The sequence below is a fragment of the Homo sapiens genome, chromosome 12, assembly GCF_000001405.40.
Source record: "Homo sapiens chromosome 12, GRCh38.p14 Primary Assembly".
Taxonomy (NCBI): Eukaryota; Metazoa; Chordata; class Mammalia; order Primates; family Hominidae; genus Homo; species Homo sapiens.
In genome coordinates, this window is record NC_000012.12 from 95,361,085 (window position 1) to 95,382,419 (window position 21,335).

A 21,335-nucleotide genomic window follows, 5' to 3' on the forward strand; every position below is an offset into this window, starting at 1 on the left:
GGTCATTCAACAAGTGTTTATGCCATTTATGGGCCAGGTACAAAAACTAAGACTAAAGACATATATAAAAATCCACATTACCTTGGGAGGCCAAGGCTGGCAGATCACTTGAGGTCAGGAGTTTGAGACCAGCCTGGCCAACATGGTGAAACCCCGTCTCTACTAAAAATACAAAACTCAGCTGGATGTGGTGGCACACGCCTGTAATCCCAGCTACTTGGGAGGCTGAGGTAGGAGAATCACTTGAGCCCGGGAGGTGGAGGTTGCAGTGAGCTGGGATCATGCCACTACACTCCAGCCTGGGAGACAGAGCAAGACTCCATCTCAAAACAAAAAACAAAACAAAACAAAAGATCCACATTCCCTTGTGAATATACTTAATGCCACTGAATTACAAACTTAAAAATGTTAAGAAGGTAAATTTTATGTCATGTATATCTGACTGCAATAAAAAGGGGGTAAGAAAAAGCCATTTCCCTCCACCAAGGAGCTCACAGTCAGTGAAGAACTGGTTGGGTTAACAATTACCATACAGTACAGGGGCTGTGTTAGATGGAAGTAGAATGTTACCAGAGCATAAGTAGGAAATTTAATGTTTGTAATATTGACTTTCTATTTAGCAGAAGTTTCTAAGAAGTACATCATGAAGACATTAAAGTATATTGTTATAGTGAGTAGTATGTGTGATCTTTTCAAAACATATTGGGTATATAGTTATTTTCATTTGGATGAGCTCATGTGACTAGAAAAATTGTTGATAATTTAGTTTTTTTGTGGGGTTTTTATTTTTTATTTTTTTTGAGGCAGAGTCTCACTCTTGTTGCCCAGGCTGGAGTGCAATGGCATGACCTCGGCTTGGACATTTACATACTTACATATAAAATTAGGCATGATTGTATACTTAACTCATTATCCAGGTGTAATTTGCATAATTTTGGCACGTCACAGCAGACCCAGAGGAAAGTGTGCAGAAACCAGGAAGAATATGAAGAGAACACAGGATTCAACGACCCATGAAGAGATTATTGAAGTGGATAATAGGGAGAGTTTTGGGGAATTTGGTCTACAGAAATCAGGCAATAAAAGTTGAGATTTTATCTTGAATCCCGGAAAAATCAACCACATCTGAAGGGCAGGGACTTGAACTTCCTTGTCATAATGAATTCAAAAAAGACTCAGAGAACCCATTTGTGGGATTGATAAAAATCACTAAAAAATGTGTATATTAGTTCCTGAGTCTCAGCCTCCAAAATTTGGTGGGTAAATAAACTTCAGAAAAGTTTAAAATTTAAGTAGAGAGATAAATTAATCCCACAATATTAAAACTTTAACGTATATGAATAAATTTTGAGTTATGAGATAATCTTGTGTATTTATTATGTTTGAAATATTAAAGAGATTTCAGCCAGTTAGAGAATGTGAGAGATTTCCTTTGGGCTTTCAACTTAAATTTGAGTAAACTGATTTTAGATTTGTGATTATTAAGTTTATAAGTTTAAGGTAGTTTGACTAAGTTCAAAAATATAATTGGAATATTTAAGAGAACTTGAGATTCCTCCAAATTTAATTTATTTGCTTTATCAAAGTTAAGAACTTGAGAATGTTTTTCTTGTTAGGGTTATAAATACTTAAAGGGGAAGTACTTAAAGGGGAACAAAATATATTCAAAATATAAATGCACTTTAAAATATATGAAGGGGGCCAGGTGCAGTGGCTCACACCTGTAACCCCAGCACATTGAGAGGCCAAAGTGAGAGGGTTGCTTGAGCCCAATAGGTGGAAACCAGGTTGGGCGAGGTGGCTTATGCCTGTAATCCCAGCACTTTGGGAGGCAGAGGCGGGCTGATCACCTGAGGTCAGGAGTTCAAGACCAACTGGCCAACATGGTGAAACCCTGTCTCTACTAAAAATACAAAAATTAGTCAGGCCTTGTGGCAGGTGCCTGTATTCCCAGCTACTTGAGGGGCTGAGGCAAGAGAATCACTTGAACCAGGGAGGCCGAGGTTGCAGTGAGCTGAGATTGTGCCACTGCACTCCAGCCCTGGGCAACAGAATGAGACTCCGTCTCCAAAAAAAAAAAGAATTGATTGGAGACCAGCCTGGGCAACACAGTGAGACCTCCATCTACACATACACACACACACAAGCACTATATATATATATATATATATATATATATATATATATATATATATGTATATATGTGTATATATGTATATATGTGTATATATATGTGTATATATGTATATATGTGTGTATATATGTATATATGCGTGTATATGTGTATATATGTGTGTATATATGTATATATGTGTGTTTATGTGTATATATGTGTATGTGTGTATATATATGTGTATATATGTGTATACGTGTGTATATATGTATATATGTGTATATATGTATATATGTGTATATATGTATATATGTGTATATATGTATATATGTGTATATATGTATACATGTGTATATATGTATATATGTGTGTATATATGTATACATATGTATATATGTATACATATGTATATATGTATATATATGTGTATATATGTATATATGTGTATATATATGTATATATATGTGTATATATGTATATATATGTGTATATATGTATATATGTTTATATATGTATATATGTGTATATATGTATATATATGCGTATATATGTATATATATGTGTATATATGTATATATGTGTATATATGTATATATGTGTATATATGTATATATATGTGTATATATATACACACACACACATATATGAAGGGTTGTTATTCATTAAATTGTATATGAGTCTAATTTTTATAGAAAGTTTAATCAGCTCAATTTGCGTTAAACAAACATTTATCAAGGAAAAGGTAAAGACAATTGTTACCTTAGAGTTTACAGATAAAATAGATAGATTTTTAATGGCCTTAAAACTTAGTGAAGAGAGGGTTTTTAATGGGTTGCTAATAAAATGAATTTTACTTTTAAAACCAAAGTGATTGCATTTTTCTATGCACAAAAATATCTTGAACATCAAAACCCCACACATTGGCACTGCATTTTTTAAGGCCTCTCCCTGTTACATGTTTACTGAATTGGTTAATCACAACCAAACTGAATCCTTGAGAGGTTTTCTTTTAATTTTCTGCCAATTTAAATAGAGTGAAATTGACAGAAAATTTTCCCTGCATTGCTGAAAAACACAATTCGCTATCAAAGAGAGACAATAAATGGAGTTGACAAGATATGATATTTTGCAGGCATGACCACTAATCGTGAGAAATAAATCTTTGAAAAATATAAAGGCAAAAGGACCAAGAAAAAGCTTTCCCCCCCAAATGATTAGTAAATGCAAATATTAGGTCCAAAAAAATAATATACGAAACCCCCAAATTCCTGAAACATGACTATCTCCCTCCACAGGTGCATGGGCCCTGTAGGAATTGTTTCTTTCTTTTTTTTTTTTTGAGACAAAGTCTTGCTCTTGTCACCCAGGCTGGAGTGTAATGGCATGATCTCAGCTCACTGCAACTGCCACCTCCCGGGTTCAAGTGATTCTCCTGCCTCAGCCTCTGGAGTAGCTGGGATTATAGGCACCTGCCATCACGCCCGGGTAATTTTTGTATTTTTAGTAGAGACAGGATTTCACCATGTTGGCCAGGCTGGTCTCAAACTCCTGACCTTGTGATCCACCTGTGTCGGCCTCCCAAAGTGCTGGGATTACAGACGTGAGCCACCGCGCCCGGCCAGGGATTGTTTCTTTGAGTTTATATAATTAACAGACTGAGCCAGAAAGATAATGAGGTAGCAGTTATAAAAAGAATGAATAAAATAACAGAAAACAACTGCACTTTTTTTTGTCTGAACCACTTCAACAAATAAGAACTCATTATGATTTGGCAACATCCCCCAGTACTCTCTAGTCCATGTCTCTTCATATATACAGCAAAATTTCATTTTTCACATTTTTTTTCTTATTTTGGAGGCAGGGTCTCACTCTGTCCCCCAGGCTGGAGTGCAGTGGCACGGTCTTGGCTCACTGCAACTTCCACTGCCCCGGCTCAAGCAGTCTGCCCACCTCAGCCTCCCAAGTAACTGGAAGTACAGGTGCTTGCCACCACACCCACCTAATTTTTTTTTTTTCTGGTTGCAGTCTCATTATGTTACCAGGCTGGTCCCGAACTCTTGAGCTCAAGCAATCTGCCTGCCTTGGCCTCCCAAACTGCTGGGATTACAGGCGTGAGCCACTACACCCAGCTTCATTTTTCATATCTGATGCTCAAAGTGTGTCTAGTTTACGGATCTCTTCTTCTACTTGACCCTTCACTGAATCTATACTCTTTCCTGAAGTGTTTTTTAGTTTATCAACTTTTTGGAGGTATAATTTACATATAAATGACCACACCTTTTAAAGTGTGTCATTCAGGCCAGGCACAGTGGCTCATGCCTGTGATCACAACACTTTGGGAGGCTGAGGCAGGAGGATCACTTGAGCCCAGGAGTTTGAGTCTGCAGTGAGCTATGATGGCACCACTGCATTCCTGCCTGGGTGACAGAATGAGACCCCATCTCTAAATATAACAAAATAAAAAATAATACAGTGTATCATTTGGTGAAATATTGATCCCTTGTAAGCACCACCATAATCAAGTTTGAGAGCCCTTCCATTAGCCTCCAAACTTTCCTCCTTCCCCTTTGCAAGAAACTCCGCTTTGGCCCCCGAGTCCTTTCCAGAGTTTCAGATAACCGGAATCATACCATACGTTCTCATTCATGTCTGGCTTCTTTTGTTCAGCATGTTTTTGAAATTGATCTGTTTTTGTGTAGTGGTTCATTCCTTTGTACTGATGCATGATATTCCATTGTATGCACGTATTTTGTGTACCCATTTACCAGCTGATGGACACTTGGATTGTTTCCAGTTTGGGGTATTATGAACAAAGCTGCTATCAATATTCACGTAGAAGTCTGTGAAAATAGGTGTCCAGCTTTGAGTAAATAAATACCTAGGATTGGAATTGCTGGGTCACATTGTAGGTAGAAGTTTAACTTTATAAAGTGCCAGAATGTTATTCATATCACCATAACATGTTCTGTTCCCACAAGCAGTGTATGAAAGTTCCAGTTGTTTCACATCTTTGTCAACACTTGGTCTTGTTAGTCTTTTACTTACAGCCATTCTAATTGAGGTATTAGGTGATATCTCACTGTGGTTGTAATTTGCATTTCTCTCATGCTGAACACGTTGAACCTTTTTTGTGTGTTCGTTGGTGATATCGTCTTTTGTGAAATATGTTCAAATCTTTTCTGTATTTTTAGTGGGTCATTTGATTTATTATAGAGTTATAAAAATTCATTGTATACTCTGGACACAAGTTCTTTGTCAGACATGTATATTATGTATATTTTCTGCCTTTCTGTGGCTTGCCTTTCCATTTTCTTGCTAGTATTTTCAAGGTTTTTTTGTTCTGTTTTTGATTTTCAGAGTCCAATTTATCAAGTTCCCTTAAGTTTCTTTGGAAATGAAGTGTAGTTGCTACTCTGGGCCAAAGTACTGATGACCTTTATATTGCTACAGAATGATTTAAATGGGCTAAAGCCTGAGTACACATATTTTACTGGCTTTTTATTACATTCACTGTAAATTTTTACTTTTGATCTTGTGCATAGGAATGTCATGCTTTCCAGGGTATATGTTTCCTTCTTTTTTTTTTGAGACTGGGTCTCACTCTGTTGCTCAGTCTGGAGAGCAGTGGCAGGAACACAGCTCACTGCAGCCTCCTCTTGGGCTCAAGCAATCCTCCTGCCTCAGCCTCCCGGGTAGCTGGGACTACAGGCATGTGCCACCAGGCCTGGCTCTTTTTTTTTTTTTTTTGTACAGATGGGGTCTTCCTATGTTGCCCAGGATGGTCTTGAACTCCTGGGGTCAAGCAGTCCTCCCACCTCTGCCTCCCAAAGTGCTGGGATCACAGACGTAAGCCGCTGTGCTTGGCGATGTGTACTTTTTAAATGAAATTTAAAGAATATAGGAAAAAGAATATTATTAATAAAAGACATACCCATGTACCCACTACCTAGCAAAATAAAGAGAACATTATCAATGCCAATAACTTTAAGGCCTCGATGCACTCCTCCCAATTCATATTCCCTCTCTCCCCATAAGAAAGTATAGGCTGGGCGTGAGCTAAGCTGTGAGGACACAAAGGCATAAGAATGATACAATAGACTTTGGGGACTCAGGGGGAAAGGATGGGTGGGGGTAGGGATAAAAGACTACACATTGGGTACAGTGTGCACTGCTCAGATGATGGGTGCACCAAGGTCTCAGAAACACCACTAAAGAACTTATTCATGTAACCAAACACCACCTGTTTCCCAAAAAATATTAAAGTAAAAATAAAATTAAATTTAAAGAAGAAAGAAAATATAGGTCGGTTGTGGTGGCTCATGTCTGTAATCCCAGTAATTCGGGAGGCCGAGGCAGGTAGATCACTTGAGGCCAGGAGTTCGAGACCAGCCTGACCAGCGTAGCAAAACCCCGTCTCTACTAAAAACACAAAAAATTAGCTGGACATGGTGGCAGGTGCCTGTAATCCCAGCTATTCAGGAGGCAGAGGCACGAGAATCGCTTGAGCCCAGGAGGCAAAGGTTGCAGTGAACCAAGATTGCACCAATGCACTCCAGCCTGGGTGACAGAGTGAGACTCTGTCTCAAAAAAAAAATTATTTACAATTTTGGTTTTAGCGGTTTTATTCTGTTTTTACCATTATTTTATTTCTTATGTATGAATTATTAAACAATAAGACTAGTTTCCTTACTTTCTTGTAACTCAGTAATACATTTAAAATTTTCTTAGTTATAATGTATTCAGTATCCAGGTGTTTTGCAATAAAAGGGCTTCTCAGAATCTCTCTTCGGCTATATAAATAGAAGCAAAGCTGTCCAGGCCAGATTTTTTTTTTAAACAGCTTTATTGAGATATCATTCACATTCTAGACAATTTATTTCATTTCAAAGTGTAGAATTCAATTGTTTTTGGTATATTCATGGAGTTGTGCAACCATTGCCACAATCTAATTTCAAAACATATTTGACACCCCCCCCAAAAAAATCCTATTCCAATTACCAGTCACCCCATTCTTTCCCAACCCCTAAGCCCTAGGCAAACACTAACTTACTTTGTGCCTCTAGAGATTTGCTAGTGCCAGTCATAATCCCTGAAGACACAATTCCAAATGCCATAATCCTGAACGTTGCAAGCCTGAAACATTAAAATCCCTAGAGTCTAAAATATCTAACATCTAAAATTCCAAAAATCGTAATCCTGAAAGATCAAAATCCTGAAATTGGAAATCTTAGAAAGCTGAATTCTAGGGAAGGAATTAATGCGTTTTGGGTTGTATTTAGGACAGTTGAGTCATGTTAGTTGCATCATGTTATGCAGAACTATTACCTTCTCATTGTCTTTATTTGCATTTGGTGGAAAATTCAGGTGAGTGGATTGGCCACATTATAATGCAGTGATGAAAACTTCAGTTTAAAAATGCATCATTGGCTGGGCACAGCGGTTCATGCCTGTAATCCCAACACTTTGGGAGGCCAAGGCGGGAGGATTGCTTGAGCCCAGGAGTTCGAGTCCTGGGCAACATGGCGAGACCTCAACTCTACAAAAAATAAAGGAAATTAGCCAGGTGTGGTGGCATATGCCTGTAGTCCTACACTCAGGAGGCTGAGGTGGGAGGATCACTTGAGACTGGGAAGTTGAGGTTGCACTGAACTGTGATCACATCACTGCACTCCAGCCTGTGTGACAGAGTGAGACCCTGTCTCAAAAAAAATGAAAAATAAAAATAAAAATGCATCCTTTGTCTGCATTGGCAGCCCTTCCAGCTGATGAAATTCTAGGAATTTTTAATGAATTAAAGCCAAATTTGCTTGAAGAAGCCAGCAAAGTTACTGGCTGGTTCAAAAATAATCATGTGCACAGTAGGATAAAAGAATGCACAACGATGTTGGAGTTCAATCAACAACATGGTTTCTGTGAAATTTGTGGTCTCCATAAAAGTGCTTGTGGAGTGGATTACTGTATACCCAAAATTACACAGAAGTATGGCACAAAAGATGTGAACATTATACAGGAATGTTCATGTTGGTGTATCTTAACTCAGAAGAATTTCAAAAAGAGCAGTGCCACGTAGAAAAGCAATGTGAATGTATTCTTTGTAAATGTATTCATACCCTAAAAGGGGAAAAAGAAAGCAGGTATTCATGGACATGAGAGGCTTCAAATATAGTTAATGATTGTGAAAGTTGGTCAGCTCTATGGACAACCTCTGTGCAATTGCCCATAATCGATATACTTTTTCACATGCCGAATTTTCTTCTTAATTTTTTTAGTTTTTTTTTTCTTTTTTTAGTATTTTCTCCACTATTTTATTTAATTAATTAATTTATTTATTGAGATGGAGTCTCACTCTGTCTCCCAGGCTGGAGTGCTGTGGTCCAAACTTGGTTCATGGCAACCTCCGCCTTCCAGATTCAAGTGATTCTCCTGCTTCAGCCTCCCAAGTAGCTGGGATTATAGGTGCCCGCCACCATGTCCGGCTAATTTTTGTGTTTTTAGTAGAGACAGGGTTTCTCCAGGTTGGCCAGGCTGGTCTCAAACTCCTGACCTCAGGTTATCCGCCCACCTCGGCCTCCCAAAGTGCTGGGATTACAGGCATGAGCCACGGAGTCCCAGCCCTTCCCCACAATTTTAAATTGTCAACATTATTTTTTTGCAATTTGCTATGCTATGGATTTCATCTTTGCATTATTTCAATACTGGAGGTATAAATTGTGTAAAGACTTTTAGAGTTCTAATTCATTTTATGTATTTTGTTTTTTACAAATTTGACTTCACAAAAGTACATTATCACATTGACTCTGTGTGTAAGCGTCACGTGTGTATGCAAAAATGTTGAATCTTCCTCAATAGATGAAGAGATGTCCTTTCTGTGCACATGCATTTGTGAAAGAGAAAACTTCTCGAGATCTTGGCTCTTTGGGTGGCTGCATATGTGGTGCTGACCCATCGTGGTTTTTGATCAGTCTCATCAAAAGACTTAGTTTGCCGGTCACAGTATTTCAGATGACTGAGGTTATAAAGCTGGGTGCATGCAATTACCAACCATAGTGATGTATTTATTCATTTTGCTTTCTGACCTATTTCTTTAATAATACATTTCATCCACTTGTAACTGTACTCTTGCAACTGTAGTTAGTATACCTAGATGTTTATGCTTAAAAATATGTATATTATTATTGTCTTTTATTGTGTATTCTGTTGTGTTTCTATGTTTCTCAAATGAATCTCCTTTAAAAATGTAAATAAATGTCCTTGTATTTTCTAAAAATTATTTTTTCCAGAATTCTTTTTTTTTTTTTTTTTTGACATGGAGTCTCACTCATGTTGCCCAGGCTGGAGTGCAGTGGCACAGTCTCGTCTCACTGCAACCTCTGCCTCCCAGGTTCAAGCAATTCTCCTGCCTCAGCCTCCTGAGTAGCTGGAATTACAGGCATCCACCACCACGCTTGGCTAATTTTTGTATTTTTAGTAAAGACACGGTTTCACCATGTTGGCCAGGCTGGTTTTGAACTCCTGACCTCAAGTGATCTGCCTGCCTTGACCTGCCAACGTGCTAGGATTACAGGTGTGAGCCACTGCGCCCAGCCTATTTTTTCCAGAATTCTAATTTTGAGATATTGATCTTTTGGGATTGTGGTTTTTGGGACTTTAGACTTTAGGGATTTTGATCATTCCAGGTCACAGCACTCAGGATTGTGCCTTTTGGGATTATGGCCCAAACCTGAGATTTGCCCATCCTGAACATTTCATATAAATGGAATCATTCAACCTGTCATCTTTTTTTTACTGGCTTCTTTCACTTTGCATGTTTTCAAGGTTCCTCCATGTTGTAGCATCGATCAGTACTTCATTTATGGCTGGATAATCTTCTATTGCACGGATATACCACATTTTGTTTATCCTTTTCTAAGTTGATGGACATTTTTGTTGTTTCCCCTTTTTGCCTGTTACGAATAATTCTGCTATGAACATTCATATGCAAATTTTTGTGTGGATGTATGTTTTCATTTCTTTTGAGTATATAGGAGTAGAATTGGTGTTCATATGGTAACTCCATGTTTAATTTTTTTAGTAACTGCCAGACTGTTTTCCAAAGTGGCTAAACTTATATTCCCACTAATGAAGAATAAGGGCTCCAATTTCTCCAAACCCTCACAAAAACTGCTTGTCTGGGCCGGGCGTGGTGACTCATGCCTGTAATCCCCAGCACTTTGGGAGGCCGAGGCAGGCAGATCACGAGGTCAGAAGTTCGAGACCAGCCTGACCAACGTGGCAAAATCTCGTCTCTACTAAATATACAAAAATTAGTTGGGTGTGGTGGTGGGCACCTGTAATCCCAGCTACTCAGGAGGCTGAGGCAGGAGAATCACTTGAACCTAGGAGGCGGAGGTTGCAGTGAGCCGAGATCACGCCACCGCATTCCAGCCTGGGTGACAGAGCAAGATTCTGTCTCAAAAAAATAAAAAATGAAAATAAAACAAATAAATAAAACTAGTTGCCCGTCTTTTTAAGTATAGTAACTTAAAATAGTTTAGCCATTCTAGTGGGTGTGAAGTGATGTTTCATGGTGGTTTTGGTATGCATTTCCCTGATGACAAATGATGTTGAGTATCTTTTCACAGGCTTATTGGCTGCTTATATGTCTTTGGGGAAATATCTATTCAGATCTTTTTCCCACTGAAGAAACTGGGTTATCTTTTCATTGTGGAGTTGTAAGAGTTCTTTATATATTCTTGATACAAGTCCCTCATTAGATATATGATTTACAAATAATTTCTCCCATTCTTTGGATTGTCTTTTCACTTTCTTGATTATATTGTTTGCAACACAAATGTTTTAAAATTCATTAAGTCTAATTGATCTACTTTATCTTCCCTCACTTGTGCTATTGGCACTGTGTCTGGGAAACCATTGCTGAATCCAAGATTGTAAAGATTTATGCCTGTGTTTTTCAGACAGGGTCTCACTGTGTCACCCAGGCTAGAGGGCAGTGGTGCAATCATGGCTCACTGCAGCCTCAACCTCCTGTCCTCAAGCAATCTCCTCCTACCTCAGCTCCCCCAAGTAGCTGGGACTACAGGCACATGCACCACGCCCAGCTAATTTTTTTATTTTTGGTAGAGATGGGGTCCCACTATGCTGCCCAGGCTGGTCTTGAAGTCCTGGGCTCAAGCAATCCTCACACCTCTGCCTCTAAAAGTGTTGGAATCACAGGCATGAGCCACTGTTCCTGGCCAGTTTTCAGCTCTTAAGTTGTCAAAAGAACTTGGCACTGTTAAACTGGTGATCATTTTTTAAAAGATATTTAATATAAACCAATGTTTAGAAATTATACTTTTTAATGTTTATAAATTGATGAAATATGCTTATAGTCACGGTTTCTCAGTGTGAGGAATTTGCTTCCTTTTCATATGTATGGACTTTAGCTTCTAAGGAAAGTAGTATCACAAAGGCCCTTTGATGTTCATAGAACGTTGTTAAGTGTGGAGAAAAAAGTAGATGTCAAGGTAGCATGTACTATATGATTCCGTACTGAGTCAAAGAAAAAATATTCTTATATGCATTTATATAGACTGGGAAAATGCATCATTAATTTTTTGTGTTGAATACATTACTTTTGAAATGAGAAAAGAAGATACTTGTGAAATGTGTAAGGAAACTCACAAACGTGAAAACGTTATGGGTAATATTAGCAGAGAAACCAAATCAGAAAACAACATTGTAATTATCAAAGGACTGCAGTTCTGAAGGTTTGAGTGGAACAATTTATATTCATTTCTGCCATGAAATTGACCATTTTCCAAAGGCTGTGAATGCAGACACCCTCTCTATATGCATGGAAATCTTCCTTATGCTATTTTCATAATAAATATTGACATATTTATTTCTCACATTCAAAAATGGCATGAAATAATCATCAGAGTCCCTTTTTGTAACTTCCATAAACAACTCCTACAATCTGTAATTTTCCCAGGCATCCCACCCCTCAAAAATAAATGTTCAAGTTTGCATAACAAGAATCAACTTCTCAAACTGTGAAAATGTATTCTTTTTTCAAATCTTTTTAAAATATGCGTTATTTTTAGATGTTTTATATTATCTTTGTACAGTATTTCCAAAGGAGAATGTTAAGGCATGACATTTTCAAGGTAGATTTTTGTTTGTTTAATTTTCTCCCAGTAGTGTGAGCTTTCACATGAATATCTGATGGGCTAACTCCAGCATACCAAAACACTAACAATTGTAACAAGCATACCACTGAGTCTTCTACTTTTGGAGCCATACACATAATTCACAGATAGATGTCTGACACTTAGGAAATGGTTTTTCATGCCAAACATTTCTTTCTTTTTTTTTTTTTGAGACGGAGTCTTGCTTTGTCGTCCAGGCTGCAGTGCAACAGCGTGATCTTGGTTCACTGCAACCTCTGCCTGCCAGGTTCAAGTGATTCTCTTGCCTCAGCCTCCTGAGTGGCTAGGATTACAGGCATGTGCCACCATGCCCAGCGAATTTTTGTATTTTTATTATAGATGGGGTTTCACCATGTTGGCCAGGCTGGTCTCGAACTCCTGACCTCAAGTGATCCTCCTGCCTCGGCCCCCCAAAGTGCTGAGATTATAGGCATGAGCCATTGCGTCTGGCCCAAACATTTCTTTCAACCTACTTTCTTTGCAGCCCAATGTGAAAGGCAAGCTACTTTCCAAATTCATTACCTTTCACAGACCCCTCATTCTACCCAATATGTTTGTAAATTAAGCCAATCATGAAGTCCAGAAGGGGGTTGGGAAAAATGTCCAACAATGATAGACTGGATTAAGAAAATGTGGCACATATACACCATGGAATACTATGCAGCCATAAAAAATGATGAGTTCATGTCCTTTGTAGGGACATGGATGAAATTGGAAATCATCATTCTCAGTAAACTATCGCAAGGACAAAAAAACCAAACACCGCATATTCTCACTCATAGATGGGAATTGAACAATGAGAACACATGGATACAGGAAGGGGAACATCACACTCTGGGGACTGTTGTGGGGTGGGGGGAAGGGGGAGGGATAGCATTAGGAGATATACCTAATGCTAAATGACGAGTTAATGGGTGCAGCACACCAGCATGGCACATGTATACATATGTAACTAACCTGCACATTGTGCACATGTACCCTAAAACTTAAAGTATAATAATAATAATAATAAAAAAAGAAGGGGGTTGGGAAAGTATAGTACAGATCAAGTAAGTGATAGGAATACAACTCAAAAAAGCCCAGTGAAAAATGAAATGAAGGCCAGGCATGGTGCCTCATGCCTGTAATCCCAACATTTTGGGAGGCCAAGGTGAGTGCACTGCTCGAGTCCAGAAGCTCGAGACCAGCCTAGGCAACATAGTTAGATCCCGTCACTAAAAAAAATTAAAAAAAAAAAAAAATAGTCGGGTGTGTTGGTGTGCACCTGTAGTCCCAGCTACTTGGGAGGCTGAGGTGGGTGGGAGGCTCGCTTGAGCCCAGGAAGTGGAGGCTGCAGTGAGCCGAGATCATGCTACTGTACTCTAGCCTGGGCAACAGAGTGAGTGAGACTCCGTTTCAAATAAATAAATAAATAAATGAAGAATCATGATGACTAGAGGCTGGAGGAAGGGGAAAATGGAGAGTTAGTGTTTAATGAATGGGCACAGAGTTTCAGTTTTACAAGAGGAAAAAGTTCTAGAGATTGATAGTGATGTTGCATGACAATGTGAATGTATGTAATACTATTGAATTATACACTTAAAAATTGTTACAATGGTTAGTGGGGAAAAGTGAAATATCAAAAACAAACAAACAAACAAACAAAAACCAAACAAACAGAAGTCAGCCAATGCTCCTTTCTGTGAGTATATACATGGGCCTACCTGTGTTCAATAGCTTGGCTCTTTGGCTCTCGAAAACAAATCCAGCTTACATTGGAAGAGAAAACCATTTCTAGAGTAACATGAAAACTACAACCCTCCTTTGCCTACAGTATCAAAATATTTCACATGTTTTAGTTCTGTGTTGTGAATCTCAGTCACTTGTACTTCATTTTATAGGCCTTGAACAACTCCCTGGCTTCTCCGGAGATGGAATTGATATCAGGGAATGAATGAGAGAGAGTATAAGGTCTTTTCAGATGACATCGTTCATAAAAACCCAGAGGCAAGACAGCTTGACATAAAGACGCTAATCACGGCAAAAAGTATATAACTTCAGCATATTCAAAATCACCATAGTAATTCTAAAGAGTAACACAGTTTTGATGTCAGTCCCTAAAAATACAAATCTCATATGTGCTCATATTCTTTCTGTATTTTGTGTCACATTCACATAAATGCACTCAACATTTGTAAAAGTTTCAAAAGTTTGGCCAGGTGTGGTCGCTCATGCCTGTAATCCCAGGACTTCAGGAGGCCGAGGCCAGCGGATCACCCAAGGTCAGGAGTTCAAGACCAGCCTGGCTAACAGGGTGACACTCCGTCTCTACTAAAAATACAAAAAAAAAGAAATTAGCTGGGCATGGTGGCTCACTCTTCTAATCCCAGCTACTCAGAAGGCTGAGACAGGAGAATCACCTGAACCCAGGAGGCGAAGGTTGCAGTGAGGCAAGATCACTCCAGTGCACTCCAGCCTGGGTGACAGACCGAGACTCTGTCTCAAAACAAAAAAAAGTTTCAAAAGTTTGATCAAAATCAATCAAGCTAGCTCACTACTTATCTACATGAAAGTAGAGATATTCATGTTAAGTGTTTCACCTCTTGACAAACAAAGGTTTTAGCCTAGACTTCCTCAACAGAGGTTTAGTGAGTGTGAAATGATTATTTAGAGAAGTTATTCTGGGCCACAATTTTAACAATGCTCTAACATCTCCATGTTTTTTGGAATGTTACTAATGTCTTAAAAGAGTAACTTTAAATTGATTTAATTTCATCTGACTTATAAAACAATATGTAAGCCCTATGCTGTTTCTATTTTTAAGAGATAATAGATTATATAATGCAAACAATTCAACCAAGTAGCACAGAAGAAATTAATTCTCTCTTTTAAAAAATTATTACTAGCTAATGTTTACTAAGTTCTTGGGTTTTTTTATTTTGTTTTGTTTTTGAGACAAGGCCTCACTCTGTCACCCAGGCTGGAATGCAGTGGTCCTATCACAACTCACTGCAGCCTTGACCTCCCCAGGCTCAGGTGATCCTCCCACCTCAGCCTCCCGAATAGCTGGGACTATAGGCGCACCACCATGCCTGGCTAATTTTTGTATTTTTGTAATTTTTTTTTTTTTGAGACAGAGTATTGCTCTGTTGCCCAGGCTAGAGTGCAGTGGCGCGATCTCAGCTCACTGCAACCTCCACCTCCTAGATTCAAGAGATTCTCCTGTCTCAGACTCCTGAGTAGCTGGGACTACAGGCATGCACCACCACGCCCGGCTCATTTTTTTTTTTTTTTTTTTTGTATTTTTAGTAGAGACAGGGTTTCACCATGTTGGCTAGGCTGGTCTCCAACTCCTGACTGCAGGTGATCCACCCGCCTCGGCCTCCCAAAATTCTGGGATTACAGGCGTGAGCCACCGCACCCGGCCAATTTTTGTATTTTTTGTAGCGATGGGATTTCGCCATGTTGCCCAGTCGGATCCAAAACTCCTGAACTCAAGCAATCCACCCGCCTCAGCCTTTGAAAGTGCTGGGATTACAGGCATGAGCCACCAAGCCCGGCCAGAAGATTCCTAACCTTTCTCTAAAAGCTTAGGAATCACAGCCTTAGAATAAACTAGGTATTCATTTTTTTTCCCAATTCTACCTTTACCTTCTAACCTCTCCTCTTTCTAAACTTTTAGTTGTTTCACGAGTAAGGTTCATAAACAGCCCTGGTAGGATTTCTAACTAGGCAAGACTCCAGCATCCTTATTGTAGAAATTACCAGGTGATACTAAAAGTTAAGAATATGACATCAGTCAACATTGCTCCCGCTCTGTCCGGCCAAAGTGGTGGCATGAAGATGATCAAGACATCTCTGGACCTACCACTTTGGGTAGGCATGGAGGGAAAGGCTGGCGTTTTACAGGTGCCAAAGATAGCTTCAGGCTTTGGGAATGCCACTTGTAGACCAAGGTGGTGGCAGAATGTCCAGAAATCTTCACAGTGATGAACCTATTTACCTGGGGGTAACAGAAAGGAGGGTCATTTCCTGCGTGGAATCCTCATTCTCATAATTCAGATGGAAATCATGTATTTGCATGACATGTGGATGGAAATTTGGGACTGACATTCACAGACAGCTGCAGTCTCTTGATTTAATACTATTACATTTTTGAGTTTTGGGCTTTGTGCTGCAATTTCGTGTGTTGTTATGACTTAGGGAGGGAAAAAGACAAGGGAGGAGAAACTATTTTGCAAGTAATGTAGTCATGTCTGGTAAAGAACATCAGGTCCATTTTAGATTGAAAAAATGCTAGGTCAACCTACAGGCACTTCTGAGCCCTAATTCTAGCCCCTGAGACATAGTCAGTCTCACCTGTAAAATCCGATTAACAACATCTGACTCCCTTGGTGTTGAGAAAAGTCAATGGCTGCCAAGTGCTTAGATGTTTTACAAGCCTTAATCTTCCTGTGAAACCCATTAAAGTTGGAGAGATTTTACAAAGGACAAGAATGGGAAAGTAACAATAAACGAACAACTTTGAACATCGGCAGATTTGTAGAGCATATTTAAAAGGCTTTCAGTAAATAAAGCATCTTAATTAAGTCAGCTGCTCTAAGCAGGCAAAGACTCTTGGTTTGGTTATAGTTTACATTCCCTTGCTTCCTGAAGGCTACTAGCTGAAGTAATCTAAGCTAAATAACCTACTTCATTGGTGATCCTGATTGTTTTTTAGATGATAGGTGAGGAAATTCTGACTTTAAAGTGTCAGGAAATTTGCATATAGAATCCTGGTACAGCCTTTTTATCTACTCTACTTTCCTAAGCCTCCAGAGTTAAACAGTACTTCTTTAAAAGTTACCATCTAAATAGTCCATGCAGAGCATGTGGCTACCACAGATGATTTTGTAAGTCGCTTAGAACAGAGACCTAGAGGTTATTCCCTATCCAGTAGCCTATAATGGTGCAGTCCAGTCAAAATAGAATGCAAGCCACAAAGGTAAGGCAAGTGAGTAATTTTTAACCAACCTTCCTTATTTACTTCTTTCCTCCCTCCCTCCCTCTCTCTCTCTTTCTTTCTTTCTTTTTCTTTTTGAGATGGAGTCTTGCTCTGTCGCCCAGGCTGGAGTGCAAGCTCTGCCTCCCGGGTTCACGCCATTCTCCTGCCTCAGTAGCTGGGACTACAGGCGCCCGCCACCACGCCCGGCTAATTTCTTTTTGTATTTTTAGTAGAGACGGGGTTTCACCATGTTAGCCAGGATGGTCTTGATCTCCTGACCTCGTGATCCGCCCGCCTCGGCCTCCCAAAGCGCTGGGATTACAACTGTGAACCACCGCGCCCGGCCCTTTATTTTTTTTAAGAGACAATGTCTCACTCTGTCGCCCAGCCTGGAGTGCAGTGGCACAATCATAGCTCACCACAGCCTTGAACTCCTGGCCTAAGTGATCCTCCCACTTCAGCCTCCCAAGTAGCTGGGACTACAGATGCACACCACCAAGCTCATTTTAAAGTTTTTTGTAGAGATGGGGTCTTGCTATGTTTCCCAGGCTGATCTCAAACTACTGGGCTTAAATGCTTCTCCCACCCTGGCTTTCCAAAGTGCTGAGATTACAGGTGTGAGCCACCATGTCTGGCCTAATTTTAAATTTTCTAGTAGACAGGTTAGAATAAAAAGCAGGTGAAATGAATAACTTTGTTTTATAACCAAATATCTCCAAGTATTAGCATTTTGACATGTACTACATATAAAAATTATTAATATGATAGTTTCTATTCTCTTTGTACTAAGTCTTCGACATCTGGTGTGTATTTTATCCTTACAGCACATTTCAATGCTTCAATAACCATGGATGCCTAGTGGCTGCCATATTGGATAGCATAGCTCTCTATAAATGGTGCCGTGAAGGTTGGTTGTGCAGTGAGGCACCTGCACATCTGTATACAGTGAGCCTGGACTAATGCATCCCATTTTGTACATATAAACATGCATGTGTGTGTGCGCACGTGCGCACACACACACAAACACACACTTGAGGTAACTATATACAAAGGAGAAAATCTAGCGCAGAGGTTTTGAGAGGTGACAGTGTGCTGGCAGTCCTCAGAGCCCTCGCTGGCTCTCGGCACCTCCCCTGCCTGGGCTCCCACTTTGGTGGCATTTGAGGAGCCCTTCAGCCCCCCACTGCACTGTGGGAGCCCCTTTCTGGGCTGGCCAAGGCTGGAGCCCACTCCCTCAGCTTGCAGGGAGGTGTGCAGGGAGAGGCGTGAGCGGGAACCGGGGCTGCGTGCGGCGCTTGCGAGCCAGCTGGAGTTCCAGGTGGGCGTGGTCTTGGCGGGCCCGCACTTCGAGCAGCCGGCCAGCCCTGCTGGCCCCGGGCCAGTGGCTGCGGAGTGTGTACTGGGTCCCCCAGCAGTGCCAGCCCACCGGCGCTGCGCTCGATTTCTCACCGGGCCTTAGCTGCCTTCCCGCGGGGCAGGGCTCGGGACCTGCAGCCCGCCATGCCTGAGCCTCCCACCCACTCCATGGGCTCCTGTGCGGCCCGAGCCTCCCCAACAAGCACCACCCCCTGCTCCACGGTGCCCAGTCCCATCGACCACCCAAGGGCTGAGGAATGCGAGCGCAAGGTGCGGGACTGGCAGGCAGCTTCACCTGCAGCCCCGGTGCGGGATCCACTAGGTGAAGCCAGCTGGGCTCCTGAGTCTGGTGGGGACGTGGAGAGTCTTTATATCTAGCTCAGGGATTGTAAATACACCAATCAGCACCCTGTGTTTAGCTCTGTATCTAGCTGCTCTGCTGGGGCTGTGGAGAACCTTTATGTCTAGCTCAGGGATTGTAAATACACCAATCGGCACTCTGTATCTAGCTCAAGGTTTGTAAACACACCAATCAGCACTCTGTGTTTAGCTCAAGGTTTGTGAATGCACCAATCAACACTCTGTATCTAGCTGCTCTGGTGGGGCCTTGGAGAACCTGTGTGTCCAAACTCTGTATCTAACTAATCTGATGGGGACCTGGAGAAACTTTGTATCTAGCTCAGGGATTGTAAATGCACCAATCAGCGCCCTGACAAAACAGGCCACTCGGCTCTACCAATCAGCAGGATGTGGCTGGGGCCAGATAAGAGAATAAAAGCAGGCTGCCCTAGCCAGCACTGGCAACCTGCTCGGGTCCCCTTCCACAGTGTGGAAGCTTTGTTCTTTCGCTCTTTGCAATAAATGTTGCTACTGCTCACTCTTTGGGTCCACGATGCTTTTATGAGCTGTAACACTCACCGCGAAGATCTGCAGCTTCACTCTTGAGCCCAGCGAGACCACGAGCCCACCCGGAGGAACAAACAAATCCAGACGCGCTGCCTTAAGAGCTGTAACACTCACCGCGAAGGTCTACAGCTTCACTCCTGAGCCAGCGAGACCACGAACCCACCAGAAGGAAAAAACTCCGAACACATCTGAACATCAGAAGGGACAGACTCCAGACGCACCACCTTAAGAGCTGTAACACTCACTGCGAGGGTCCGCGGCTTCATTCTTGAAGTCAGTGAGACCAAGAATCCACCAATTCCGGACACAGTTTCAGACTGGCAGCTCAGAAGTGTTTGAATTAATCCTGTCAAAGTTTGAATTAATTGTCAGCAGTTAAATTTCAGGATATTTCACATAAAAGTCTGAATTTCTAGCTGGAAAAAACCGTAAAATGTAGTAACCCCAGGCCCGTATTCCCATGTGGCAACAACCTTCTGGCCCTGAGTAGAGGCTGTCCCCCTCAGGTGGGACACTTCCAGTTCACTGCCGTTCCTACTTGGTAGACTCACTCTTATATTATCTCAGTTTGGAATCTTTGATCCTACAGAGATACATACCAAGCTATGAATATGGTTGATTTCTGCAGAGTGAAATTGAGGAGGAGGAGACTTTCACTTTGAACACCATACTTTCCTATTTTAGAAATGTTTTTACAGTAGGCATGAACTGCTTTTCTAATAACAATTTTAAAAAATTGCTGTTTAAAGCAACTGCTGTTTAGCAAAGATAAATCCATTAAGAAAGGGCCAAGTATAGTTTGCCAAGTGAAATGAAGAACTGAAGTAAAAATGTATCACATCCAGGAACTGGTTATTATCTGAAATGAAATAAGCCAGGCACAAAAAGACAAATATCGCATGTCCTCACTTATATGTGGGAGCTAAAAAATGGGATCACATGGAGGTAAAGAGTGGAAAATAGAGAACAGAGACTGGGAGGGGTGGGGCAGGGGTAAAGGGAGGATGAAGAGAAGCGGGTTAAAGGGTAAAAACACACAGTAAGAAGGAATACATAAAATGTTTGACAGCACAGTAGGGTGACTATACTTAACAAAAATGTTTTGTACTTGGGCTGGGCATGGTGGTTTATGCCTGTAATCACAGCACTTTGGGAGACTAAGTCTGGAGGACTGCTTGAGCCCAGGAGTTTGAGACCAGCCTGGGCAACATACTGAAATCTTGACTCTATAAAAAAACAAAGAAACAGAAAACCCCAAAACTGTTTTTTACTCGGGTGACAGACACCCCAAATACCCTGACTTGACCACTACATATTATATACATGTAACAAAGTTGTACATGTAATAAATATACATGTAATAAATTTGTACAAATAAAAAAATTTATAGCCAGCAAATTAATTCAGTCTTCTCAACCTTGTTTCCTTTAATAGCATATATATTTTTTTATTTTTTATTTTGTTGTTTTTTTGAGATGGAGTCTTACTCTGTTGTCCAGACTGGAGTGCAGTGGTGCAATCTTGGCTCACTGCCACCTCTGCCTCCTAGGTTCAAGTGATTCTTCTGCCCCAGCCTCCCAAGTAGCTGAGATTACAGGCATGTGCCACCATGCCCAGCTAATTTTTGTACTTTTAGTAGAGATGGAGTTTCACCATGTTGGCCAGGCTGGTCTTGAACTCCTGACCTCAGGTGATCCACCTGCCTCAGCCTCCCAAAGTGCTGGGATTACAGGTGTGAGCCACTGTGTCTAGTCCCATAATAGTATATTTTAGATACCCAAAGTAAATTACTGTTGCAACATAAAAA

General features: G+C 40.7%; 1 long non-coding RNA gene across 1 annotated transcript in view; it reads right to left on the minus strand.

The window, feature by feature from the left end:
- LOC105369917 (uncharacterized) overlaps positions 1-21,335 on the minus strand; it is a 67,929-nt gene that overhangs the window by 23,515 nt on the left and 23,079 nt on the right. Inside the window, exons 6-7 of the long non-coding RNA XR_001749265.1 lie at positions 19,774-19,874; positions 16,151-16,285 (exon numbers count right to left, since the gene is read on the minus strand). This is a non-coding gene — a long non-coding RNA (uncharacterized LOC105369917). The remainder of the gene's footprint in view (positions 1-16,150; positions 16,286-19,773; positions 19,875-21,335) is intronic.